Raw genomic sequence first — 27,898 nt, forward strand, 5'->3', positions numbered from 1 at the left:
TTATTTCTGAAGTTTCCTATTTAATATTTTTGAACCACAGTTGACCTCAGGTAACAGAAACTGCAGAAAGCAAAACCACAGAAAAGGGGAGACTAATGTAATAAGCCTTAACACTGGATACAATAATTCCTCCTACTATTCTTTTTCTCAAAACTTCTGAGAAAAAATTTCTCAAAATTGTTTCATATTTTATATATATATATATATATATATGGTTCCTTTGACCATTTATGGAAATTTTGGAATAAGCTTATTTAAAGCTGAGAAAAACCTTACTGGAATCTTGACAGGAATGCCATTAAACTGTAGGTCAATTTGGAGAGAACTGGCCTACTTACAAAGTTGAGTTTCCCAATCTATCAAGAGACCACGTATCTTCATTTATTTCAGTGTTCTTTTATTTCTTTCATCAGAATTTTGTAATTTTCAGCACAAAGGTCCTATACATATTTTGTTCAATTTATAACAAAGTATTTAATTTTCTATGGAATAAGTGGTATTATGTTTTTAATTTAGATTTGTATATGTTCATTGTTAGTGGAAAGAAATTGATTATATGTGTTCATCTTGGATCCTGAAACTTTTTGGAAATCATTCATTCATTCTGGGAGGTTTTCATTTTGTTTTCTTTTCTTTTTTTTTGTTTTTGAGACGGAGTTTCACTCTTGTTGCCCAGGCTGGCGTGCAATGGTGTGAGCTCGGCTCATCACAATCTCCGCCTCCTGGGTTCAAGCAATTCTCCTGCCTCCCAAGTAGCTGGGATTACTGGCATGCGCCACCACACCCAGCTAATTTTGTATTTTTAGTAGAGATGGGGTTTCTCCATATTGGTCAGGCTGCTCTTAAACTCCTGACCTCAGGTGATCCACTCGCCACGGCCTCCCAAAGTACTGGGATTATAGGCATGAGCCACCAGGCCTGGCCTGAGGTTTTTATTTTCTAAGATTCCTTGTAATATTCTACATATACAGTCATGTCATGTGTAAATGTAAACAGTTTTATTTCTTCTCTATGTGTATGCCTTCTCTTTCATTTTCTTGCCTCATTGTGCTTGAAAGAAGTTACAGTACTACAATGAATAAGAGTGGTGAGAGCAAACATCCTTGCCTTGTTCCCAGTTTTACAGAGAAAACATTTCATCTTACCAGCAAATATATCTGCTATAGATATTTTGTGCATGTTCATTTATCAAACTGAGGAAGATCCTCTTAATGTCTTGTATAGAGATTTTTTATCATGGATGCATACTGCATTTTGTCAAATGCTTTCTCTATATTAACTGATGTTATATCATTTTTCTTCTTTAGCCTATGGTGGGTTAATTACATTGATTGATTTCTGAATGTTGAACCAGGCTTGCTTGTATAACTCAAGTAAATCCCACTTGTTTATAGTGTATACTTTTTACATGACTATTTTCTATTTGCTAGTGTTTTGGTAAAGATTTTTGCTACTAAATGTATGGGGAGTATAGGTCTGTAGTTTTATTATTTTTGTACTGTCTGTATGGTTTTGACATCAAAATAATTTTTTAAATGTGTTAAGAAATGTTCCCTCTTGGCCAGGCGCAGTGGCTCATGCCTGTAATCCCAGCACTTCGGGAGGCTGAGGTGGGCGGACCACAAGGTCAGGAGTTTGAAACCAGCCTGGCCAATAAGGTGAAACACCGTCTTTACTAAAAATACAAAAATTAGCCGAGCATGGTCGCATGCGCCTGTAGTCACAGCTACTCAGGAAGCTGAAGCAGGATAATCACTTGAACCTGGGAGGCAGAGGTTGCAGTGAGCCGAGATTGCACCACTGCACTCCAGCCTGGGTGACAAAACAAGACTCCATCTAAATAAATAAATAAATAAATAAATAAATAAATAAATAAAATAAAGAAATGTTCCTGCTTCTATTTTTTGAGGACATTGTGTAAAATCATCATTAATTCTTGTGTAAATGTTTGGTAGAATTCTCTAGTGAGAACAACTCTCTAGTACACAGAAATTGGTTTTTTGGAGGTTTTTTATTTAAAATTTAAAGTATTTGATTCAAATTAAGTCAACTTTTATGAAAACCTATGGGTCATTCAAATTATCTATATCACCCTAATTGAGTTGTAATAGTTTTTGGTTTCTGAAAAACTGCTACATTTCTTCTATGTTGTCATTTTTCTTTTTTTTTTTGGAGACAGAGTTTTGCTCTGTTGCCCAGGCTAGAATGCAATGGTGCAATCTCAGCTCACTGCAACCTCCCACTCCCTGGGTTCAAGCCATTCTCCTGCCTCAGCCTCCTGAGTAGCTGGGATTACAGGCGTGCACCACCACACCAGGCTAATTTTTGTATTTTTAGAAGAGACGGAGTTTCACCATGTTGGCCAGGGTGGTTGCAAACTCTTGACCTCAGGTGATCCGCCTGCCTTGGCCTCCCAAAGCCCTGGGATAACAGGCATGAGCCACCACACCTGGCCTATGTTGTCATATTTATGAACATAAAGTTGTTGACAAGATTCCCTTATTATACTGTTAAATGGATGGTGGAGTGATATTCCCTGTTTCATTCCAGATATTGATGATTTGTCATCTCATTTTATATTTTTAATCAATATTGCTAGATGTTTACCAATTTTATTCTTTTCCACAGAACCCTATGTTTCATTAGTTTTCTCTACTTTTTCCTATTTTCAATTTTACTGATTTCTGCTTCCAGTGTTATTTTCTTCCTTCTACTTAACAGAGGTTTTATTTTGCTCTTTGCTAGTTTCTTAAGGTAGAAAGTCAATTATGGGTTTGCAACCTATCATCTTCTCTAATGTTAGCATTTGGCACTATAAATTTCTCTATCAGCACTGCTTTAGCTACCTCCCACATATATTGATATGGTATGGTCTCATTTTCATTAAGTCTATGCATTTCTACTATTAAATTTGAGGCCCCTTCTTCACTCCAGATGTTATTTAGAAGTCTGATGTTTAATTTCTAAATTATTATATATTTCCCTATTGTCATTCTATTACTGATTTGTAGTTTGGTTTCATTATGGCCAGAAAACATACATACTCAGAATGATTTCAATTCTTTTAAATCTGCCAAGGCTTATTTATGGCCCAGGATATGGTCTATCTTTCTGAATATTCCATGGACACTTGAGAAAAAAATTGTATTTTGCTGTTGTTGGGCACTATTCTTTTTCCTTTTTTTTGAGACAGAATCTCACTCTGTAACCCAAGTTACAGTGTAGTAGCACAATCTTGGCTCACTGGAACCTTTGCCTCCCAGTTCAAGAGATTCTCCTGCCTCAGTTTCCTAAGTAGGTGGGACTACAGGCATGCGCCACCATGCCTGGCTAATTTTTGTATTTTTAGTAGAGACAGGATTTCACCATATTATCCAGGCTACTCTTGAACTCCTGACCTCAAGCAATCTGCCCGCCTCGGCTTCTCAAAGTGCTGGAATTACAGGCGTGAGACACCGCACCTGGCCTTGTTGAGCACTATTCTATAATGATGCTTCAGTCCTGTTGGCTGATGTTGCTGTCCTGTTCTTCTATATCTGCTAGTAATCATATGGCTAGTAATTCTATCAATTGCTAAGAGGGAAGTGATGAATTTTCCAACTACAATTAAAATGTGCTTTTCTCTTTTCAACTCAATCAGTTTTGTTTTGTGTACTTTGAGGTTTGCTAGAGACACATTTAGGATCATTGCATTTTTGTTGGATTGATCCTTTTATCATTATATAATGTTCTTTTTGTCTAATAGTTTTCTTTGCTCTTTGCTCTAGAGTCTACTGTATTTTGTTTTTGATTAATGTTTGTACAGTTTATCTTTTTATATACTTTATCAACCTATGTTGTTCACTATGAGTTTCCTAAGAAAACATTTTTAGGATGGGTGGAGCAAGATGGTGGAATAGAGAACGCCACCGATCATACACACTCCCCCGCAGGAAGACTAACATTGGCAACTATCTACACAAAATAAGCAGTTTCACAGGAACCAAAAGTCAGGTGAGCACTTACAGAGCATGGTTTTCACTTCATATGGCTGAAAGAGAACAGTTTGGAAGTTCCTGAAAAAACTAAAAGTAGAGCTATCATATAATCCAGCAATCCCACTCCTAGATATATACCCAAAAGAAAAGAAATCAGAACATCAATGAGATATCTCTGCTCCCATGTTTACTGCAGCACTGTTCACAAGAGCTAAGATTTGGAATCAACTGAAGTGTCCATTCACAGATAAATAGATAAAGAAAATGTGGTACATATACACAATGGAGTACCATTCACCCATAAAAAAGAATGAGAGATCCTGTCATATGCAACAACCTAGACAGAAATGGAGGCACAGAATGTTAAAATTTTGCATGTTCTCACTTATTTGTGAAAGGTAAAAATTAAAACAACTGAACTCATGGAGATGAGGTAGAAAGTAAAAGGACAGTAACTAGAGGCTGGGAAAGGTGGTGGGGTGGGGTTGGGGGAAGGTGAGGATGGTTAAAGGGTACAAAAAAATAGTTAGAAAGAATGAATAAGACCTAATATTTGCTAGCCCAACAGGGTGACTACAGTCAAAAATAATTTAATTGTACATTTTAAAGTGACTAAAAGAGTGTAACTGGATTGTTTATAACACAAAAGATAAATACTTGAGGGAATAGATACCCAATTTACCCTAATGTGATTATTACACGTTGTGTGCCTGTATCAAAACATCTCCTGTACCCCAAAAATAAATACACCTACTATGTACTCACAAAAATTAAAAATTTTAGATCATGTTTTATGTTTTTTCCACTCTGCCAATTTATATTTTAATTAGTGTACTTTGATTATTTACATTTAAGGTAAATATTGCTCTGTTAGGCTGCTATTTGTTTTCTTTTCTGTTTTCTATTCATCTGTTCCTTTTTTCTTATTTTCTGATTAGTTACCTAAATATTATTTTAGATTCCATCTGGGTTTATTTATAGTGTTTCTAAGTGTACCACATTTTATAGTTTTCTCAGTAGTTGTTCTAGGTATTAAAATGTACATATGTAAGTTATCACAGTCTATCAAGCATTTTACCACTTCAAGTGAAATGTACCAAGTTTCATTCCACTTAGGCCCCTTTACCCTCCCCACTTTTAAAATATAATTGTCTTAAGTGTTTCCCCTACATACAGAGCATTTTGCTCCAACCATCAAAAATGATTCTAGAAACTCACGAGAAAAATATATTTATCCCCATTTTTGCCAACCTCCAATCTTCTTTCTTTCCTGCATCCCAAGCCTTCTTGTTATTTCCTTTCTATTTAGAGAACTTTTAGTCAATTTTTAAAGGTAGGTTTGCTAGCAACATTTTCTCTTAGCTTCCCTATCTAATAATGCCTTTAGTTCCCCTTTATTCATGAATATAGTTTCAAAAGATACAGAATTTTTATTTAATAGTGCTTTCCCCTCAGTACTTGAGAAAATATACTACTTCCTGCCTGCCACCACAGTTTCAGAAGAGAAACCCACAGTCATTCCCTGCAGGGAATGTGTTGTTTCTCTCTGGCTACTTTGAAATTTTTTTTGTCTTTAGTTTTCAAAAATTTAATTATAGTGTGAGTTTGCCATGGACTTAACTTATTGGATGTTACTTCAGACTCGGGAATGTGCAGTTTTATATCTTTTGCTAAATTTGAGAAGGACCAGCCATTACTTCTTCATATACTTTAAACACCTCCTTCACTTCCTTCTGATGTTACAAATGTTAGTTCTTTTGTTATTGCCCCACTTTCCAAATACTGAAAGAATCAAACCTCATCCCATTCCCTCCTGCCTTCCGGCTTTGTCTAAGCTACCACAATCACTCATAAGGAAAACTACCACAGGACTTTAATGAGCTCTCTATGCCCTATGCCCTGCCCAATATTTTCTCTACAGAGGTGAGAAAGATCTTACAGAGATATAAATCAGATGTTGCTCATCTGCTGAAAATCTACCACTAAACAGATTTTAACCAAATAAGGCTTATGATAGGCTCACCTTTGGACTCTAGCTGCCTCCCTCACCTCACCTCCTGCCCTTCCTCCAATCAAGCCCTCCCTTCAGCCACTGTGACTTTTTGGTCATTCCTGAAAACCACCAAGCACATTCCTGTCCAAGGCTAGCAGCTGCTATTACCCCTGCTGAAAAGAGGCAGAATCCTCATGGCTCACACAGTCATTTCATTCAAATTTCTACTCTAATGTTGACCTCAGTAAGGTTTCCCCTGACTGTTCCTTAAAGTAATCTAAACTTGCTTTAATTTCTTTCATAGTCTTTAAAACCACAGAACACTTAATATACATAAACATAAGTATACATAATATACTTAGAGACATAATTTTGTTTTTTTTTTATATTTATTTACTTATTTTTGAGACAGAGTCTCGCTCTGTCGCCCAGGCTAGAGTGCAGTGGTGCAATCTCAGCTCACTGCAACCTCTGCCTTCTGGGTTCAAGTGATTCTCCTGCCTCAGCCTCCCAAGTAGCTGGGATTACAGGCACCTGCCACCACGCCCAGCTAATTTTGTATTTTTAGTACAGATGGAGTTTCACCATGTTGGCTAGGCTGTTCTCAAACTCCTGACCTCAAGTGATCTGCTCACCTCGACCTGTGCTGGGATTACAGGTGTGAGCTACCATGCCTGGCCTAATTTTTTTCATTATCATATCCTCAGCACACACCAAGTGCTCAAAAATTATTTGCTGAGTTTAAAAATGAGTGAATAAAAAATTCTGACAGAAGAATAAACACAAAACAATGGAGGTTAAGGTGGGACACTGAAAGTGCTTTGAGAAAAATAACCAAGAAAAACAACAGTAAAGTTGAGGTGGGCAAAGACTGAACTATTGGCAGGTGTAAGAATGGTAAACCTTCAAAAAATGATTCTAAAAGGAAAAATTTTTTGTGAGTAGTATCTGGAGGTTTGATTTAGCAATCAGTATTCTCCATCACTTCCAGAGGTTAGGACCCCTATGGAGATGTTCTTGAAAAATGTTCCAAAGTTGCCAAACCCTGAATTAACTACTGGGAAACAACAAATCCCCTGATGTGAATCTGTGCAGTACATATTAACCCACCTGGAAAGCTCTGGCTTGGGAATTCTTCCTCCAGTCTCCATGGTTCTTCTCCTTGTTCCAGCCTGAAGATCACCTCTGGTTTGTGAGCACAATACCCTGTTAACAGGAAATAATTTAGGATTTGGACCAAGCAGTCTAGACTTCAGGCCTTTGAAGCAGGAAGAAGCTTCTGGGGCTGCTTCAAGTTGCCAGTGGAACATTTTCACTGGAGAGGTGAACACAAGTATCTTCTGGTGCTCAATCAACACTGACTCCTGAAGCCTAACCTAAGCCTAAATAATGTCATTAAACTAGACAGACTGCCTATATGTTTTATAATCAAAATAAACGAATGCTATTTAGAATGATACAGTGAACAGACCTTACCCACTGAGACAAGGTTGCTGTAGTTCTCCAGCATCACATCTCTATACAGAGCCCTCTGACTAGGGTCCAGGTGCTGCCACTCCTCCTGGGTGAAGCCCACAGTCACATCTTTAAATGATACTGACCCCTGGAACTTCTGATCTACCTGAAATGTTCAGAATTAGGTGGCATGAAAAAAGAAGTATGGGCTAATCCTTACCATGATTATTATTCACAGAATATTTGTTTTGCTTTATACTTTTAGGGAAAAAAGAAATCATAACAGAAATATTCTGCCATTAATGCATTAAGATATTAATTCATGCAAAAAAATTATCAAGTTCCCACAATGTACCTGGAACTATCATCACTCCTGGCAACACTAAGATTAATAAAAATCTTCCTGTGTTCAAAGAACACACAGAGTGGTAAGAAAATATACATGGTAACATGTTGCAAGTACTAAGGTGAAAGTACAAACCCAACAGACTAACGTTAGGAGCAAAGTTAGCTCTGCTTTGAGTTTCACTGAGGAAGTATAGCTGTTGGTTGAATTATGAAGAACACTCTATTACGTCCTTCATAAGCACGGGGCCATGATACAAGCAAAGGTGAGGGCCTCCAACACACTGCAGACATCAACAAAAGGGCAGACAGCACAGGAAATGGCCTGCTGCTGTCTTGAGAAGAAAAGCCAAGGAAATGGGTTACAGAGTAATTTTACACCAATGGTCTCTAAAGTATTTGATCATTTACCATTTTCAAGAATATTACTGAGAACTACAGATTTATATTTACAAATCACAGAAATAAATTGTCAGTACATTTATTATGAATTCTAATTTAATTCTCATTTAGATTTAAAAATGTAGAAAGCCTGACATTTTCTTCATCGCAGTACATATTCTGGGTTCTAATCCTTTAATTCAAAGACAATAATAGGGATGTGTAGAAAATGGAAAGATCTTGGAACTATTATACTTGAAACCTCTGTGGAGTACATAGGAGAAGACATCCAGTTGGATTGTTCTGGATATCCTCTAGGGCACATCTTTTAGGGATCACTGCTGTGAAAAAGGGAGAGCCAAAGATGAGATGTGAGCATATACTGCAATTATGTGACCAGGTTTTGTTTACAGAACCAATTCTATTGAGAACAGCAAAGGACAAAACAACATTTACATAAACTACTGTAGAAGAAACCAGGATGCAAATAGGGCATGAATAATAGGAGACAGAGCATCAAAATGTGGTCACTAATTCATTAAGAAAAAAAATGTTTCCTCTGGCTATCCCCATGAACAGCTGCTCAGATACTAGGGCCACAATGTAAACCAGGAAAGTTAGGGCAAAATAGGTTGGACACGGTATTCTAGCAAGAAATGTCCTAAATATATTAAATTTGAAGCACAGGCTGGGTGCAGTGCCTCACGCCTGTAATCTCAGCACTTTGGGAGGCCGAGGCGGGTGGATCACCTGAGGACAGGAGTTCGAGACCAGCCTGACCAAAATGGTGAAACCTCATCTCTACTAAAAATACAAAAAATTAGCCAGGCGTGGTGGCAGGCACCTGTAATCCCAGCTACTCAGGAGGCTGAGACAGGAGAATCCCTTTAACCTGGGAGGCAGACATTGCAGTCAGCCGAGGTCGGCACCACTGCACTCCAGCCTGGGTAACAAGAGCAAAACTCCATCTCAAAAAAAAAAAAAATGAAGCATAATATGAAGATCAAGAATGAAACAAGGACTACAGAGACATTTATAATACAGTGGTGCTCAAAGCCATCAAGAGAAAATCAGAAGGATGTCAGAAAACTGGGGAAAGAAAATAATCAAGAATGGAATCAGAGGCTAAGCACAGTGGCTCACATCTGTAATCCTAGTACTTTGGGAGGTAAAGGCAGGCAGCTCACTTGAGGTCAGGAGTTCAAGACTAGCCTGGCCAACATGGAGAAGCCCTGTCTCTACTAAAAATACAAAAAAATTAGCCAGGCGTGGGGGCAGGTGCCTGTAATCCCAGTTGCTGGAGAGGCTGAGACAGGAGAATCACTCGAACCCAGGAGGTGGAGGTTGCAGTGAGCTAAGATCGCACCACTGCACTGCAGCCTGGGCAACTCTGTCTCAAAAAAAAAGGTAAGAAATTCCTCCCAAATTTATATATAGGTTCAATTCAACCCCAAAGAAAGTCTCAGCAAGTTATTTTAAGAATACTAACAATATTTGTATGGAAATGCAAGGAACTAGGAAGAGCCAGGATTTGCTGAAGAAAAAATGTGTTAAACCCACTACTAGACACTAAGATGTTTCACCAAGTGAGGTACTGGCACAACCAACCAACAGAACACAGTCCAAAAAAACACACAGACATATATGTACACATAATTGATGAAAATATCACAATGTAAAACTGGGGAAAGGATGGTGTTTTCAAAAATAATTCTACACTAACTGTATGAAAAACAGGAATCTGACATCCACCTCATACAAAAGTAGACACCCATTCCAATGAAAGAGAGGTAAATGTGAATGCCAAAACAATAAATATTTTAAAAGATAACAAAAGAGATTATCTTCATGACCTCAAAGTAGGTAAAGTCATCTAAAATAGCACACACCATCAACAAATAAACTTAATAAACTAATCTAGGGATTGGTAAACTTTTTCTGTAAAAAATCAGACATTAAATATTTAGCCAGGCATGGTGGCTCACACCTGTAATCCCAGCATTTTGGGAAGCCAAGGCAGGCGAATCACTTGAGGCCAGGAGTTTGAGACCAGCCTGGCCAAGTGAAACCCCATCTCTATTAAAATACAAAATTAGCCAGGTGTGATGGCATGTGCCTGTAATTTCAGCTACTGGGGAGGCTTAGCCAGGAGAATCCCTGGAGCCCTGAAGGCAGAGGCTGCAGTGAGCCAAGATCGCACCACTGCACTCTAGCCTGAGTGACAGAGTGAGACATTCTCCAAAAAAAAAAAAAAAAATCAGACATCATTATATTTGGGGCTTTGCAGGCCAAAAGGTTCCTGTCACAATTAGTCAACTCTGCCACTGAAGCCACAGATTAAATGTAAATGAGTGAATGAGCAGGGAGGTGTCAGGATTGTGAGGGGGACAAGACGGCAGCTGCAGGAGGGCTGGCAATGTTTTTTTTGACGTATGTATTCATTATTTGCGCCATGGATTTGTAATAATTCATTAAGTTCTATATTTAAAATGTAGGGGTTTTTCCATCTATCTGCTACACATGTAGAAATAAGATTCATTAAAAATTAAAATATGTAATCCCAGCACTTTGGGAGGCCGAGGCAGGCAGATCATGAAGTCAGGAGACTGAGACCAGCCTGGCCAACATGGTGAAACCCTGTCTCTACTAAAAATACAAAAATTAGCTGGGCATGGTGGCGCATGCCTATAATTCCAGCTACTTGGGAGGCTGAGGCAGGAGAATCACTTGAACCAGGGAATCGGAGGTTGCAGTGAGCCGAGATTGCATCACTGTGCTACAGCCTGGCGACAGAGCAAGACTCTGTATCCAAAAAAAAAAAAAAAAATTAAAATACACTTTAATTTATTGGCCGGGCACAGTGGCTCACGCCTGTAATCCCAGCACTTTGGGAGGCCGAGGAGGGCAGATCACGACGTCAAGATATCGAGATCATCCTGGCCAACATGGTGAAACCCCGTCTCTACTAAATCTACAAAAATTAGCCAGGTATGGTGGTGCACGCCTGTAGTCCCAGCTACTCGGGAGGCTGAGGCAAGAGAATTGCTTGAACCCAGGAGGCAGAAGTTTCAGTGAGCCAAGATCGTGCCACTGTACTCCAGCCAGGCAACAGAGCGAGACTCTGTCTCAAAAAAATAAAAAAATAAAAAATTTAAAATTAAAATACATTTTAACTTACTGATCAAACAGTACATCCAAAAGAAAATTGGAACCTGTATAAAATAAAAATTAAAAAAGCAGTTTGACTCAATAGGCTGCACTCATTTCAGGGCTAACACTGGAAGGTTATTCACTATGGGTCCCTATGTTATAACCAAAAAAGGTATCTGCCAGGAAGTCTTTGTGTCTTCAGAGGAGTCAGTTTGTCTGTATCCATATCCAGTGTCTTCCTTTCTGCCATGGTTGTTGGAAACATAAGAAACACATGAAGCTCAACTTATTGACTCTAACTTGGCCCTGCTATTGATCTGTTACTTTATATTTTCTGGGAAGTTCAATTTTTATCTATTACTAATTTCTCATCTTAACATATTGACTCTTGGCCAGGCACGGTGGCTCACACTTGTAATCCCAACACTTTGGGAGGCCGAGGCGGGCGGATTGCCTGAGCTCAGGAGTTTGCGACCAGCCAGGGCAACACGGTGAACACATCTCTATTAAAATGCAAAAAATTAGCCAGGCGTGGCGGCCTGCGCCTGTAGTCCCAGCCAATCGGGAGGCTGAGGCAGGTGAATTGCTTGAACCCAGGAGGCAGAGGTTGCAAGGTTGCAGTGAACAGAGATGGAGACACTGCGCTCCAGCCTGGGCGACAGAGCGAGACTCCATGTCACAAACAAAACAAAACAAAAAAACCATACTGACTCTTACAAATCTCACAAAGTCCACCGCAAAATAAAGTAGGGAATTAATAAACAACTTACCTTGTTCATTTTGTTCTGTTCTTGGAAAGACGGAGACAACTCTGAAGATACAGCTGAGTTGGAAAAAGAGGAATGGGGTCATGAAAGATTTGGCCTGCCTGGCAACTCCCGGATTCTTCTGCCCTAAGAAGCCATACACACCCACTAGGTAAAATGCTCCGTCTGGGAGAATATCAATGTCCTCTGACACTTCGGAATAGGGGGTAGAAATGGTGAAAGAACACCCTAATACAACTCCAACATAACCATGTAGCTCTTGGGCACAAGATTTTTCATCAGGTGAAAGTAAATATTTGCTTCCTAAGGATTTCAATCTCCCTCAGTCTTCACAAAAAATGTATAATGACAATATTGGCCAAACAAGTTAACAATACATTTAATGAAAAAACATTAACACTAAAACCATTGTAAAGAATAGGACTAGGCTATCGATTTTCCCAGTAATGTTACTTAACCTCTGATGAGTTAGTCCACAGAAAACCATAAGCGTCAGTGCTTCAAAGAAAAAATCCGTTTTAATTTCTTCATCTAACTTTGTTGCTATTTCTCAAAAGGATGTTTTAAACTTGCTTTGATGTGTGTAGAAAAGTAGTACTGGCTTAGGGGTCAGGAGAAGTGACTTTTAGTTCTCCCTACTAACAAACTTTGATCCTGAACAAGTCAGTAACCTTGACAAACAAAAAACAAAAAAATTATTTTTTCTTCTAACAAATGAGGCAAAATTAGGTAATTCTGGTTTTTTGTTTGTTTGTTTGTTTTTGAGACGGAGTTTCGTTCTTGTTGCCCAGTCTGGAGTGCAATGGTGCAATCTCAGCTACCTGCAACCTCCGCCTCCCGGGTTCAAGCATTTCTCTGCCTCAGTAGCTGGGATTACAGTCATAGGCCACCACGCATGGCTACTTTTAGTATTTTTAGTAGAGACGGGGATTTGCCATGTTGGTCAGGCTGGTCTCGAATTCCTGACCTCAGGTGATCCACCCTCCTCGGCCTCCCAAAGTGCAGGATTACAGGAGAGAGCCACCGCGCTAGGCCAAAATTATGTAATTCTTGAAGATCCTTCCTGAGTGCAAGATCAAGTTAGGACAGAGGAACAGCAAATAACAAGATGGGGTGATGGACATGACTGGAGGGCAGTTCGAAACCTAAAGAGGATGAACGCAGAACGGGCAACAGAGTCCGTATGTCGGGCGGGCGACTGCACCCGCCCTTTCCTACCCAGGTAGGGCCGCGCCCTAGCACATGGGCGTAAACACGCTCAACCAGAGAACTGCCCCTCCCGCAAGGCTCAGCGCTCGGACCGCGCAAGCGCACATGCCCTCCTCCGCGGCCCCTACAAACAGGGCAACGCACAGGGCGTAGCCCGCTCCCTACAGAGGCTGCGCCTTAGAGGAACTGGCGTAGCGTCCTGGTAGACATGCTGCAGCCCCGCCGTCCCCGGCTTCTCCGTGAGGTCCCCGGGACTCCTCGCCACCACCTGGCACTGGCCCCCGGCTGCCTGCTCCTGGAGTCGCGCGGGGCCCCCTCTCCGTCCCTGCCCAACCCGCGGAGGCTTACCTCACTCTCTCTTCGGGTTGCATTCGCCATAAGAGAGCCGGTAGACCCCTGAAATCCCGGGACCGCCTCCCACGCAAAACGTGAGACAAACAAAAGGAAAGGCGGAAACGCAGAAACGCAGAGGTAGCCAGTGGATGAGGCATGCGCAGAGCCCACGCTCAAAGCCTGGCGCTGTTGGCGCCCAACCTGGAAACTACCTTTCCCGTGAGGACGCGAGAGCAGCCCTTCGGGATTGGCAGAGAGGTGCCCCGCTAGGCAGTGGACAGATGCGGTCTGAGTTGGTGTGGGAACTGCCCGCAGCCCTGGCTCTCCCGGGGCGACCCAAAGGGATGCACTGCAGGGGAGGTCTGTGTGCAGCAAGTGTGCAGGTTAGACACAGACGCCTCAAGGAAAGGACAGCTGTGTGTCAGTTTCACTTTAAATGTTAGGAAGTAGATCTTATTGATACAGTTTAAAAGACTTTGACACTATCAGCGATTCTTTGAGAGCAGGGATGGGGGGGATGGGGGAGGTGCCACAGGAAAGCTACTTCATCAAAATCGTTAACGCAATAAACGGAAATTGAAAAGTCAGAAAATAGACATAATCCGAAAGAAGAAAATAAATGTCACATGATTTCCCCTGTGACATTAAAATTGCTTGACTAAATGGAAATACATTTAGTCTATCTGTACCTTTCTTAGGAAGACAAAATTCCTAAAAGAATATCAACAAATTTTTTTATGTATTTTTTCTCTTTGATCTTTAGTGTATTGTGTACTTTACAAAAGCATTGTCAACTTTATCCAGAGTAAGTAAAAAACTAAATGAACAGCCATTATACGTTTTAAAAAGCTTGAAAAAATGCCTGAGAAATATCTATATCTATCTATATATATAATATTGCTCTATTCAAAGTAGTTTGGCACCTGCTCCATGGAAATAAGACACCATGATTGAGAGTATTCTTTAATGTGTAGTAAATACAGCATTTCAAAACAGTGAGGGAAAGAATGGAGTATTCCAAAGAGCATGTCATTCCTAACAATTTGGAATATAGAGATATATATAGATCACACGTGATAAAATTCACATGTATACAGTATTGAAACATTTAAACGAGTATAAATTTTTGAAAATTGACATGTGGGCCAGGCACAGTGGCCCACACCTGTAATCCCAGCAGTTTGGGAGGTGGAGGCAGGAGGACCACTTGATCCTTAGAGTCCAAGACCAGCCTGGGCGTTATAGTGGGACCCCTGTCTCTACAAAAAATTAAAAATAACAATTAGCTGGGCATGTAGGCAGGCGCCTGTGATCCCAGCTACTCAGGAGGCTGAGGTTGGACGATCACTTGAGCCCCAGGTTGCAGTAAGCCATCATGGCACCACTGCACTCCAGCCTGGGTGACAAAGTGAGACTTTGTCTCAAAAAAAACCAAAAAGGGATGTGATACCAAAGACAGAAACTATAAATTTAATATCAGTTACATTTTATAATAGAGAAAAATAAGCAGCTCCATTCCAGCAAAACTTTTTAAGTCCATTATGAGAATTGAAAGAAATGCAAATATGGCCGGGCATGGCAGCTCACGCCTGTAGTCCCAGCATTTTGGGAGGCTGAGGCGGGCAGATCATGAGGTCAAGACATTGAGAACATCCTGCCCAAAATGGTGAAACCCCTTCTGTACTAAAAATACAAAAATTAGCTGGACGTGGTGGTGCGCACCTGTAGTCCCAGCTAGTCAGGAGGCTGAGGCAGGAGAATCGCTTGAACCCGGGAGGTGGAGGTTGCAGTGAGCCAAGATCGCACTACTACACTCCAGCCTGGTGACAGAGTGAGACTGCATCTCAAAAAAGAAAAAAAGAAAAAAGGAAATGCAAATATTTGAGTAAAAATATGTGAAACATATTGAAATTTACATTTTTAAATTTATGCTTTATATACTGAAAAGTTCACTTTATTTGTTGCATAATTTTATGAGTTTTGACAAACGCACAGATTTGTGTAACCACCACCACAAGCAAGATACAAAATTATTTCACCTGTCAATAAAATTCCTCCATGCTACCTTTTGAAAGTCAGATTCTCTAACCACTCTTAGCCTCTTGCAGCCACTATCTAGTCTTTGGGCCTGTATGTTTGCCTTTTTTAGAATATTATATAAATGGAATCATACAATATGCAGTCTTTGAATCTGGTATCTTTTACTTAACACAATGCAATTGAGATCCTTCCGTGTTGTTTTGTGTACCAATACTTCTGTTTTTCTTGCTGTTAGAAACAAGTGCCTGGTGCCGCAGAGAAAACCAGCACAAAGGCAGAAAATTCCTCAGCAAGAGAAATTTACTTCTGCAGAAGGGTGCAGGTTATGCCAGTCATGATCACAAGAGAACACCGAGAAGGGCAGGGCAGGGGTTTTTATCCCTGATGCAGTTCCTAGCACTTCTGTGTCCCTTCCCCATTGGCTGGGATTAGACCTCACAATCAAAGCTAACTCGATTGGCTAAGGTTTAAAATTGACAGGGTCTATTAGGCGGGAAGGAAGGGGGACTGTCCATTACTAAGCGGGAAGGCATATCCGGACTTGTCTGGGCATGGCAAAGGCGGGAAGGTTGTTTACAGAACAGGTAGCTTGGAGACAAGGAAGTACAAGGAAGTTGGTCTTGAGCAACAAACAACAGGGAACTAAAGCTTTCTGAAGAGTAATTTGTCAACTCTGACATTGCTGACTCCTATTTCTTGGTATGGATTTACCAGCTTCCTTGTCCATTCCCCAGTCCAGGGATATGCAAGTTGTTTCCAATTGGGAGAAATTGTAAATAAATAAAATATTTTTAAGTTTAAGATTTGAAAAGATTGTAAAAAACACTAATATACACCTATGGTATGGGCTTGGGGAAATGTTTATTCCCAGTGTATTAATCAGGATTCTCCAGAGAAACAGAACCAATAGGAGGGAGTAAGGGAGAAAGAGACATTGATGATGAGAAATTGGTTCACATGTCTATGGAGGCTAAGAAGTCCAACAATCTGTCATTTGCAAGCTGGAAATCCAAGAATGCTGGTGGTGTAATTCTGGTATGAGTCCAAAGGCTTGAGAACCACGGAAGCCAATGGTGTAAATCCCAGTGCAAGGACAGGAAAGGATAAGATGAAATGTCCCAACTCAACAATGAGGCAGAAAATATGGGTGAATTCCTCCTCTCTGCCTTGTGTTCTATCCAGGCCCTTAGGGGATTGAATGATGTCCATACACATACGGAGGGCAATCTGCTTTACTGAGTCTACTGATTCAAATGCTAATCTCATCTGTACACACCCTCACAGATGCACCCATAAGTAATGTTTAATCCAGACACCCTGTGACCAAGTCAAGTTTACACATAAAATTAACCATTAACCATCACAGCTATTCTATTTTTTTTTTTTTTTTTTTTTTTTTTTGAGACAGAGACAGAGTTTTGCTCTTGTTGCCCAGGCTGCAGTGCAATGGCATGATCTTGGCTCACTGAAACCTCTGCCTCCCGGGTTCAAGTGAGTCTCTCAAGTAGCTGGGATTACAGGCATGTGCTACCGTGCCTGGCTAATTTTTTGTATTTTTCCTAAAGACGGGGTTTCTCCATGTTGTTCAGGCTGGTCTCGAACTCCCGACCTCAGGTGATCCACCAGTCTCGGCCTCCCAAAGTGCTGAGATTACAGGCCTGAGCCACCACACCTGGCCACAGCTATTCATTTTTACGGTGAATTTGATTAACTCTGGAGGCTCATTTTTTCCTCTCATTTCTTCTTCGGTTTTTGTACCTTTTTCCCTTTTACATTTCGTTGACACCTAATAATTGTGCATATTTAGGGGATATAGACTGATATTTTGACATGTGTATAAAATGTATAATGATCAAATCAGGTTAATTAGCATATCCCTCACCTCAGACATTTGTGTGTGTGTTGTAAGCATTCAAAATCCTCTCTTCTAGCTTTTTGAAAATACACAATAAATTACAGTCAATTATATTTATCCTACAGGGCTGTGGAACACCAGAGCTCATTTCTTCTATCTAGCTGTAATTTTGTATTCATATACCAACCTTTCCCCATCCTGCCCTCCCCACTACCCCCTCACCCTCTAATGCCCATAATTCTACTCACTACTTCTATGAGCCCCAATTTTTTTAGCTCCCAAATATAAGTGAAAATGTGCAGTAATTATCTTTCTGTGTCTGACTTATTTCACTTAATGACATCCAGGCCTATCCATGTTGTGGCAAATGACAGGATTTCATTTTTATAGCAGAGTAATATTCCACTGTGTTTATATACCAGATTTTCTTTTTCCATTGATGTGTTGGTGGACGTTTAGGTTGATATTATATTTTGGCTATTGTGAATAGTGTTGCTATAAACACAGGAGTGCAGGTATCCCTTTGATATATGGATTTCCCTTCCTTTGGATATGTGCCCAGCAGTGTGATTGTTGGATTGTATGGTAGTTCCGTTTTATTTTTTAAGAAACCTCCACACTGTTTTATATAGTGGTTGTACCAATTTACATTCCCACCAACAGTGTCTAAGAGTTCCCTTTTCTATGCATCCTTACCAGCACTTATTTATTTTTCTTATAATAGACATTCTAACTAGGGTGAGATGATGCCTCATTGTGATTTTGATTGGCATTTCCCTGATGATTAGTGATGCTGGACATTTTTCATACATTTGTTAGCCATTTGTATGTCTTCTTTTAAGAAATAATTATTCAGATCCTTTGCCTGCATTTTAATCAGATTACTTTTGTTTTTGTTTTTGCCATCGAGTTGTTTGAGTTATTTGTATATTCAGGATATTTGTCCCTTTTGGATAAATAGTTTGCAAGTATTCCCTACCATTCTACAAGTTGTCTCTTCACTTCCATAATTGTTTCCTTTGCTGTGCAGCTTTTTAGTTTAATACAGTCCCACTTCTTTTTGTTGTTGTTGTCTGTGCTTTTGTTTGTTTGTTTATTTTGAGACAGAGTCTCACCCTGTTGCACAGGCTGGAGTGCAGTGGTGTGATTATAGCTCACTGTAGCCTCTACCTCCTGGGCTCAAGTGATCCTCCTGCCTCAGCCTCCCGAGCAGCTGGGATTACAGGTGCCCACCAGCATGCCTGGCTAAATTCTGTATTTGTAGTAGAGATGGGGATTCACCATGTTGCCCAGGCTGGTCTCGAACTCCTGTGCTCAAGAATCTGCCCACCTCACCCTCCCAAAGTGCTAGGATTACAGGTGTACACCACTATGCCTGGCCTGTCTGTGCTTTTTTTTTTTTTTTTTTTTTTTTTTTGAGATGGAGTCTCACTGTGTTGCCAGGCTGGAGTGCATTGGCTTCAACCTGGCTCACTGCAATCTCTGCCTCCTGGGTTCAAGCAATTCTCCTGCCTCAGCCTCCCAAGTAGCTGGGATTACAAGTGTGCACCACCACACCCAGCTAATTTGTGTGTGTGTGTGTATTTTTAGTAGAGATGGGTTTTCACCATGTTGGCCTCAATCTCCTGACCTTGTGATCCACCCACCTTGGCCTCCCAAAGTACTAGGAGTGCATCACCATGCCTGGCCCTGTCTGTGCTTTCTAAGTCTTAGTCATAAAACTTTTGCCTAGGCCAATGCCCTGAAGAGTTTGCTCTAGGTTTTCTTCTAGTATGTTTACAGTTTTGGTCTTATGTTTAAGTCTTTAATCCATTTTGAGTTGATTTTTGTATACGGTGACAGGTAGGGATCAAGTTTTGTCCTTCTGCATATGGATATCCAGTTTTCCCAGCACAATTTATTGAACAGGTGGCCCTTTACACAATGTACGTTCTTGGCATTTTAATTAAACGTTAAAGGACTTATAATATTATAATTCCACTTATATGACTTTGTAATAATAAATTATTGTTGATATATGTGCAAGTATATTTAAATCAATCAGAGTTCAAATGGTAACAGAGAGATCACTCAAGTATTACAACTGAGAGAATTTGATGAAGATTATTTAAAGCAGGTGTTTTAATGGTAAAAATGAACACTGAGCTAACACAGGATGACAACATCAGGTAGCAGCTACCTGTCTAGGGCTGGGAAACAATGGAAAAGATTAAGGTTCTCGGAACCTAGAAACTCACAAGAGTGGCCCCAGAGAGCTAGAATTAGACAAGACAGCGGAGGCAGGGGCAGTGCCAGGATCATGCTGGTACCTCAGGTATTCAGAGAAGAGCTTTGCAGAACTGGAATTCAGATGCTGTCCAGTTGCTAACTGAACTTTCAGGAAGGCATGTTGAAGCACATTGTGTTCACCTCTGAAAGTCGTTACTGTCCAGCTGGTGCTAGTAGCCAGAGTGGGATCAATGTGGAGAGTTCTGGGAGAGCTAAAAGAAGCTGGAGGGTGATCAACATGTTCTGGAATTAGATAGTGGTGATGGTTGTGTAACTTTGTGACTATAATTATTGAATTACACACTTTTAAAGGAGTAAATTTTGTATGTAAATTGTATGCCAATGTTACAAATACTTTTTTTTTTTTTTAGACGGAGTCTAGCTCTGTCACCAGGCTGGAGCACAGTGGCATGATCTCGACTCACTGCAACCTCCACTGAAGAAGGAATTCATGAATTTTACAAGTATAATCAAAGACCACCAAGAAATTTTTACTTTTTCCTTCAAAAGCTAAGTGTAGTGTAGCACCCCCTGCCCATAGTCTAAGTTACAGAAGAATACTAACTGCCTGTTTTTCTTTCTGTGTTGTGAGCCTTATCTGTTCTCACCAGTTTCACATTCCTTGAGGCTCAGTGAGTTCCTGCGCACCTCCCTAGCACAGCTGCAAAGTTACAAGGTTGATATGCATATGTTACAGAAACATAGTTTCCCAAGGATGTGGAACATGTAGTATAGATAAATGTAAAAGACTGATCAACTGCCTTTGTTCTCGCTTGTGTAAGTAGACTTCATGAATCACATAGCTCCCGGCCACTGACTGCTTAAAAGGTGGCTGCATTCTTTCTCCAGGGCTCAGACTTTCCTGGACGCTAGTCCTACTGAGCCAGGTGATCCCCTTAATAAAGGCTTTCCTGAACTCTCTTCAGTCTCTCCCGTCTCTGATTGTCCCATAACATTTCTGGGGGCCTGTCTGGGATTGGAGATGGCAGGTTTCTGTCTCCTTTGCCTGTGGGCTAAAGCCACAGGACGCGGGAGATTTGGGAACTTTGGTGCCACTGGGGAAGACTTAGCCCAGAAGGAGAACGGCTCCCATGTATTGGAGCCTCGCCCTGACAGCGCAAACGGAACCGACTCAGGAGTTGCAGGACAGTCACAGGAGCAGTGCGCTGGCAGACTACTGAACCGCCATAAGGTTGGGCCCTGGAAAAGCCCATCCCATAAGGACAGAAGGGGAGCTTGATTACCTTCCCCGGAACGATCACTTATCCAACCCAGAGTGGCTGGGGGCAGCAGGAGTGGCCTGCCAATTTGGATGAATCTCGTGTCCCCACACAAGCAAAAGTGGTTCACTGGATCTGGAGACAGAAACTGGGAGTGTTTTGGTGTGTGTGAACCTACTCGGGACATAAAGAAGGCTTCTTTCATCTGATCAGTCCTGGGGTAGGAGTGGTTTGTGTATGTGTGTGAATGTGGAAGCCTAACTAAGCTCACTCGGGACATGAGAGAGGCTTGTTTCATCCGATGAGGAGTCCTGGGGCAGGGGAGGTGTGTGAAAGTGTGTGAAAGAGGTGGTCTCGGAGAAGCCAACACGGGGAGTGATGTGGGGAGTTGCAGATCTTAGTGCAGACTGTGTCCCTCAAGGTGAGTGTGGGACAAGCCAGACCTAGGTCACTGCATAAGACCGACAAGATTCACTTCATGGTAGCTTCACAGCAGTAGTTGGCTGTGACCTGGCCAAGCAGCATCCAAACCTCCTGTAATAGGACCCTGTCTGGTGCATCCAAGAGTGAAAGTGAGAGTGAAAGTGTGCCACGAGGGAGGCAATAGGAGGAAAAGTATTGAAGCCAACTCCATTAGAACATATGTTGAAGAACTTTAAGAAAGGCTCTGATGGTGATTATGGAATGAAGTTAACACCGCAGAGGCTAAGAACACTTTGTGAAATTGACTGCCTCTCCTTCAACATAGGGAGGGCGGCCAAGGGAACCATAGATAGGGAAATAATTGGCCGAGTATTTAGGGTGGTCACTGGGGTTGGAGAACAGCCTGGACAACCTGATCAGTTCCCATACATAGACTCCTAGCTGAGCGTGATTCAAACCCATCTGAAATGGCTACAGGCCTGTTTTGAAAATTATTGTAAGACTCTGGTGGCTCGTACAAAACAAGGAACCATAGAAAAGACCCACAAAGTGTAGGCCCAGGAGAAAGAACAGCAAGGAAAACAGGAAAAACCTGTCCTACAGGCCCCACTAGAAGAGCTAGAGACTCCATCCCCTTATGTTCCAATTTATCCGCCTCTGGCAAGGCTTAGGCAGGAAGTCACTCCAGCAGCTGCCTGTGGAGGGTCAGACTCAGAGGAGAGTACCCTTCAAACTTCACCACATAGGGAAGAGCCAGGGTCACTGCCCGATAATTCAAAGGAGGAACTCCAGTATGACGGCCATCTCCGGTCAGGACACGCCCGAGCTTTGCAGATGCCATTCAGAGAACCTAGGGGACAGATCTATTTAGATGCACAAAATGAGGTTCAAGGAGGAGAACGGCTTTATGTTTATCAGCCCTTCTCTACTACAGATATTTTCAACTGGAAACAGCATACTCCCTCCTATACAGAAAAACCCCAGGCTCTTATCGACCTGATGCAGTCCATCTTCTTAACTCACAACCCAACCTGGGCTGACTGCAAGCAGTTCCTTCTGTCACTGTTCAATACAGAAAAACACTGCAGAGTAATACAAGTGGCTTATCAGTGACTAGAAAGCAATGCTCCAGTAGGCACAGGAGATGTCAGAAAGTATGCTCAGCAGGCTTTGCCAATAGAAACTGACCCAGGCTGGGACCCAAATCAGGCCTAAGGGCTGCTGAACTTGCTGAGATACCAAGGGGCTCTGATACAAGGAATAAAAGCTGGAGGGAAAAAGGCAACAAACACTGGAAAGGTTTCAGAGGTCCATCAGAAACCAGATGAAAGTACCAGTGAGTTCTATGAGAAGCTTTGTGAGGCTTACCGGCTCTACACACCTTTTGACCCAGAAGTGGCAGGGAATCAGTGCATGGTTAATGCGGCATTTGTGAGTCAGGCACAAAATGACATTAAGTGAAAGTTGCAGAAGCTGGAGGGGTTTGAAGTTATGAACATTTCCCAGCTTATCCAAGTGGCAACTAAAGTGTTTGTAAATCAAGATGAAGAAGCAAAGTGGGAGGCCAAGCATAGAGTGAAGGAAAAGGCAGAGTTCTTGGCTGCAGCCCTGATTGAAAGAGAGGCTGGATTTGCAAGAGGACATGGACATGGTCGTGGATGCAGTCATGGTAAAGGACAAGCTAGGGCTAGGCCAGGTCAGGAGACCAGGACAGGTCAGGAAGGTTGGCCTAGACTAGAGAGAAATCAATGTGCGAGATGCAAGCAAAGAGGGCATTGGAAAGATGAATGTCCAGAGAAAGAAAAGAATAAAGGCTACAAGCAGGGACAGAATGGCTGGACAAGGCCTCCTTCTGCTGCTGGGCAGGGCATAGTAGGATGCGATGTGGATCTAATTGGGCTGGCAGGAGTCAGTGACTACCTTGAAGACTGAGACAGACTGGGCTACATCTCATTAGGCCCTGAGGAGCCCATGGTCTCAATGGTAGTAGGGGGCCGAAAAATAGACCTTATGGTAGACACAGGTGCTGAACACTCAGCTGTGACTCAAACAATTAGGGTGTTATCAAAACTCTATGCTAATATTATTGGGGCCACAGGTATCACAGAAAAAACACCTTTTTTCACATCAAAGAGAGGTATAATTGGAAACCAAGAAGTCCAACACAAGTTCTTATACTTGCCAAACTGCCCAGTGCCGTTGTTGGGAGAGACTTGTTGCAGAAGCTGCAGGCTCAAATCTCCTTCACACTGAATGCAGATATACCTTGAGCCTAGGGCAAAAGAAGGCTATGGTACTAACTCTTACAGTACCCAAGGCAGAGGAGTGGAGACTTTATGAAAGTAGTTGTCAGGAGTGTGGAAAGGAGTACAGCTGAGAAAGAAAAACTGTTCACAGACTTACTCCCTAAGTTACCAGGAGTCTGGGTGGAGGACAATCCCCCAGGGTTAGCAGTAAATCAAGCACCTGTCATAGTAGAGCTACTACGAGGAATCTACCCAGTGTGGATCCATCAGTATCCCATTCCCATAGAGGCTCACCAAGGGATTGCAAAACACTTAAAATGACTCCCTGAATTTGGAATAATAGAGAGATGTGTCTCCTCACGGAATACTCCCCTACTGCTGGTGTTAAAACCTTCTGGCAACTACCAGCCTGTACAAGATTTAAGGACAGTCAACAAGGTAGCCAGTACACTGCATGCTATTGTGCCTAACCTGTACACTATGCTTGGACAAATACCTGCTAGTGCTGCTTGGTTCATATGCTTGGACATTAAAGATGTGTTCTTCTGCATCTGATTAGCCCCTATAAGCCAAGACATTTTTGGTTCATATGCTTGGACATTAAAGATGTGTTCTTCTGCATCTGATTAGCCCCTATAAGCCAAGACATTTTTGCCTTTGAGTGGGGCCCATCTCAGTATACCTGGACTAGACTTCCCCAAAGATTTAAAAACTCCTCAACTATCTTTGGAGAAGCACTAGCCTCAGACTTAAAGGCTTTCACACCACCAAGTGATCGCTTGTCTTACTGCAATATATAGATGATCTGCTGTTAGCCAAACCCACAAGAAAATAATGTATCCAAGGAACAGAGAGTCTCCTTCAAGTGCTGTGGGAAGCTGGCTATAAAGTGTCTAAGAAAAAGGCACAGATCTGTGGCTGAGGAGTTCAGTATCTTGGATTTTACTTCTCCCAAGGACGGTGTGAGCTTGGACAGGAGCGAAAAGAGATTGTCTGTAGCATTCCTCAGCCAGACAGAAGGCAGCAAGTGCAGGAATTCCTAGGGGCAGCTGGTTTTTGCCAATTATGGATTCCTGACTACTGGCTCCTAGCAAAGCCTTTATATGAGGCAACCAAAGGAGGGGAAAAGGAGCCCCTCCTTTGGGGAAAAGAACAGGACATGGCTTTCAAGGAAATCAAGAAAGCTTCAATCCAGGCCCCAGCACTAGGACTGCCAGACATGACAAAGCCCTTTTACCTGTATGTTCATGAAAGAAAACAAACGGCTACAGGAGTCTAAGTGCCAATGCTAGCATCGTAGTATCAGCCTATAGCATATTTGTCCAAGCAACTAGACTTGGTGGCTATGGGATTGCCACCCTGTTTCAAGGTGCTGGCCGCCACTGCCTTGTTAGCCAAAGATGCTAACAAGCTCACATTTGGGCAGCAGCTGATAATTCAGGTGCCCCACACAATTGTCACCTTGATGGAACAGAGAGGACATTGTTGGCTCTCTAACCGTAGGATGCTAAGATACCAAGGACTCCTATGTGAGAATCCATACATCACCTTAGAGGCTGTGAATACCCTAAATCTGGCCACACTGTTACCAATAGAATGTGCAGAACATGGAAAGTCCCTGTTATGTGCCCCAGGGTACCACTGCTGTGTAGAAACAGTGGATGAAGTATTTTCAAGCTGGGAAGACTTAAAGGATCAACCCTTAAGAAACCCAGATGTTGAATATTTTACTGATGGAAGCAGCTTCATATCTGAGGGTATCAAAAAGGCCAGATATGCCGTAGTCACATTAAGCTCGGTGGCTGAAGCCTGCCCCCTACCAGTAGGAACCTCAGCGCAGAAGGTAGAACTAATAGCTCTCACAAGAGCACTATTTCTAGTGAAGGGAAAGTCAGTGAATATCTATGCTGACTCAAAATATGCTTTTGCCACCTTGCATGCTCATGGAGCCATTTACGATGAAAGAGGACTGTTAACTACTGAAGGAAAAGAAATAAAGAACAAAAAGGAAATAGAGCAGCTCCTAGAGGCTGTGTGGGCTCCAAAGGAAGTAGCAGTCATCCATTGTAAAGGACAGCAAACAGGAAGAAGTGATAAGGCTACAGGAAACAGCAAAGCAGACAAGGAAGCAAGAAAGACTGCAATGACAGAAAAAACAAAGAAAGAAGAGACTTATGCCATGCCCTTATTAGAGCCTCCCCTTGCAGACACTCCTAATTACTCGTCCAATGAGAAGGCATCGTTTGTGCAGGAAAACGGGAGTTATCAGAAAGAAGGCTGGTGGAAGTTTTCAGATGGGAGACTTACCATTCCAGAAGCCATTGCCCCCCAATTTATAAAGCAGTTTCACCAAGGAACACACATGGGGAAGACAGATTTAAAGATTCTCATAGGGCGGTATTTCATTGTGCCATGCCTAACTGCCATGACTCGAGCCATCTACGAGCAGTGTGTTACTTGTGCCCAGAATAACCCAAGGCAAGGGCCTACTTGGCCTCAAGGAATTCAGGAAACAGGAGCAGTGCCATGTGAAAACCTACTTGTAGACTTTACCGAACTGCCTCAGGCTGGAGGCTATCGGTACATGTTAGTGTTTGTCTGCACCTTTTCAAGGTGAGTTGAGGCATTCCCCATCAGGACAGAAAAGGCACGAGAAGTAACCAGGATATTATTAAAAGACATTATTCCCAGATTTGGACTGCCTCTAACCTTAGGCTCAGAAAATGGACCAGATTTTGTGGCAGAAGTAGTACAGCAACTAACTCAGATGTTAAAAATTAAATGGAAACTGCATACAGCCTAACATCCACAAAGATCTAGAAAGGTTGTAAGGATGAACTGGACACTGAAACAACTGTTGAAGAAGTTTTGCCAAGAGACTCATTTAAGGTGGGACCAGGTATTGCCCATGGTCCTTCTCTGAGTCAGGTGTACCCCTACAAAATTAACTGGGTGTTCACCTATGAGATAGTGCATGGCCCACCACCCCCACTCATATCTCAAGTAAAAGGAGATTTAAAGGAAATTGGAGAACTGACCCTAGGAAGACAAATGCAGGTATTAGGTGAGGTAATGCAAGAAGTACAAGGGTGAGTAAGAGAAAGAATACCTGTTAGCCTTACAGATGCAATACATTCCTTTCAACCTGGGGACTTCGTATGGGTTAAATGCTGGAATCCTACCACCCTTGGGCCCTTATGAGATGGCCCCCATATTGTGACCATGTCTACCCCTACTGCTGTTAAAGTTGCAGGTATTACACCTTAGATCCATCACAGCTGACTGAAACCTGCAGCCTCAGTTCAAGACATGTGGACGAGTCAGCAAGATCCAGATCATCCAACTCAACTGATCTTGCAGAGGAACCAAGGCGCAGTAGGAAAAGACGACCACCCTGCTCCGACCACACCAGAAGCTGGTCTGTCAATGCACAGCTGAAGCTTAAGGAAACGTCAAGCCCTGCTCTAGTCACACAGCTGGAAGGTGACTAGTCTACGCATGGCTGAAGCTTAAGGAAAAGTCAAGTCCTGCTCTAGTCACACAACTGTAAGCTGACTAGCCTATGCACGGCCAAAGCCTGAGGAAGCCAGCACTAGATAAGTAAATGTAGATTGAATTTGCAAGTGTAGTTATACTATTGCTTATACTGATTGTCTTGCTGTCATGCTATCTTTGCAATTGCTATCAAACTTGTTGCCCGGGAGGATGCCTGTGCATAGTATAAACTTAATCACACTAATGACAATAATGTTAACAGGCATGGGAGGAAATCAAGATAACTGTCATTGTATGATAGAAAGTTGGTCTGGTAAAGGTATAACTAAAACCCTGTTATATCAAACTTATTATGAGTGTACAGGAACTCCCCTGGGGACATGTGTTTATAATCAAACCAGCTACTCCATCTATAACCCAGGAAATAGGCAACCTCAAGTATGTTACAATTCAGGCCTCCTACCCTGTGGCTTCTGGTTTGAAATTAAAATAGGGAAACCTTTATTACCCTCATATGCCAATCCTAAAGATGTTAGAACTGGGAAACTCATAAGCAAAACACAGGTATTCCCTTATTTACATAAAGGATCTGTTTCTATATATTTTGATGCCTGTCAGGCTGCACACCTCAGCAACCTAAACAATCTAGGAGTAGTCTGCAAGAACTTAGGACAAGAAAGACTCAGCAGCAAGGCTGCTAAGATCATAACAGGAGAACCAGAAGAAGAATGTCCTGATTGT

General features: G+C 41.9%; 1 protein-coding gene and 1 long non-coding RNA gene across 17 annotated transcripts in view, besides 4 other annotated features; one reads left to right on the forward strand and one right to left on the reverse strand.

Moving 5' to 3' along the window:
* ZNF33B (zinc finger protein 33B) overlaps positions 1–13,722 on the reverse strand; it is a 64,402-nt gene extending 50,680 nt beyond the window's left edge. For 5 of the 14 annotated variants that reach the window (NR_130948.2, XM_047425719.1, NM_006955.3 and 2 more), the window contains exons 1-4: positions 13,626–13,722; positions 12,072–12,124; positions 7,447–7,591; positions 7,081–7,176 (exon numbers count right to left, since the gene is read on the reverse strand). Coding sequence is in view for 4 of the 14 variants with exons in the window: in XM_047425719.1 (XP_047281675.1) it covers positions 7,081–7,176; positions 7,447–7,591; positions 12,072–12,080 (250 nt within the window). In the remaining 10 variants the exon portion in view is untranslated. Of the gene's footprint in view, positions 1–7,080; positions 7,177–7,441; positions 7,592–12,071; positions 12,125–13,625 lie in introns of all 14 variants that reach the window. The other 9 variants (NR_130950.2, NR_130949.2, NM_001305037.2 and 6 more) reach the window with 4 other exon arrangements.
* Positions 12,484–13,352: an enhancer, noted in NCBI's record as "H3K27ac hESC enhancer chr10:43132780-43133648 (GRCh37/hg19 assembly coordinates)". NCBI's record gives its function as "activates a minimal SCP1, AML or CMV promoter by ChIP-STARR-seq in naive H9 embryonic stem cells {active_cell/tissue: H9 hESC(naive)}" and the evidence as "EXISTENCE:reporter gene assay evidence [ECO:0000049][PMID:30033119]".
* Positions 13,012–13,281: an enhancer, noted in NCBI's record as "active region_3280". NCBI's record gives its function as "activates an Ori minimal core promoter by ATAC-STARR-seq in GM12878 lymphoblastoid cells {active_cell/tissue: GM12878}" and the evidence as "EXISTENCE:reporter gene assay evidence [ECO:0000049][PMID:35858748]".
* Positions 13,457–20,694, forward strand: LOC105378268 (uncharacterized). Of its 3 annotated transcripts, XR_007062125.1 has the most exons (3): positions 13,457–13,993; positions 14,374–14,415; positions 20,145–20,694. It is a non-coding gene; the product is annotated as an uncharacterized LOC105378268 (long non-coding RNA). The 3 variants fall into 3 exon arrangements; XR_007062124.1 differs by lacking the exon at positions 14,374–14,415; XR_945898.3 differs by lacking the exon at positions 14,374–14,415 and having other exon boundaries at positions 13,457–13,705.
* Positions 13,472–13,641: a silencer, noted in NCBI's record as "silent region_2311". NCBI's record gives its function as "represses an Ori minimal core promoter by ATAC-STARR-seq in GM12878 lymphoblastoid cells {active_cell/tissue: GM12878}" and the evidence as "EXISTENCE:reporter gene assay evidence [ECO:0000049][PMID:35858748]".
* Positions 16,733–17,027: a silencer, noted in NCBI's record as "tiled region #10386; K562 Repressive non-DNase unmatched - State 6:EnhF". NCBI's record gives its function as "represses a minimal TATA promoter and a strong SV40 promoter by Sharpr-MPRA in K562 cells {active_cell/tissue: K562}" and the evidence as "EXISTENCE:reporter gene assay evidence [ECO:0000049][PMID:27701403]".
* Positions 20,695–27,898: the final 7,204 nt, after the last annotated feature.

Source organism: Homo sapiens, chromosome 10, assembly GCF_000001405.40.
Source record: "Homo sapiens chromosome 10, GRCh38.p14 Primary Assembly".
Classification (NCBI taxonomy): Eukaryota; Metazoa; Chordata; class Mammalia; order Primates; family Hominidae; genus Homo; species Homo sapiens.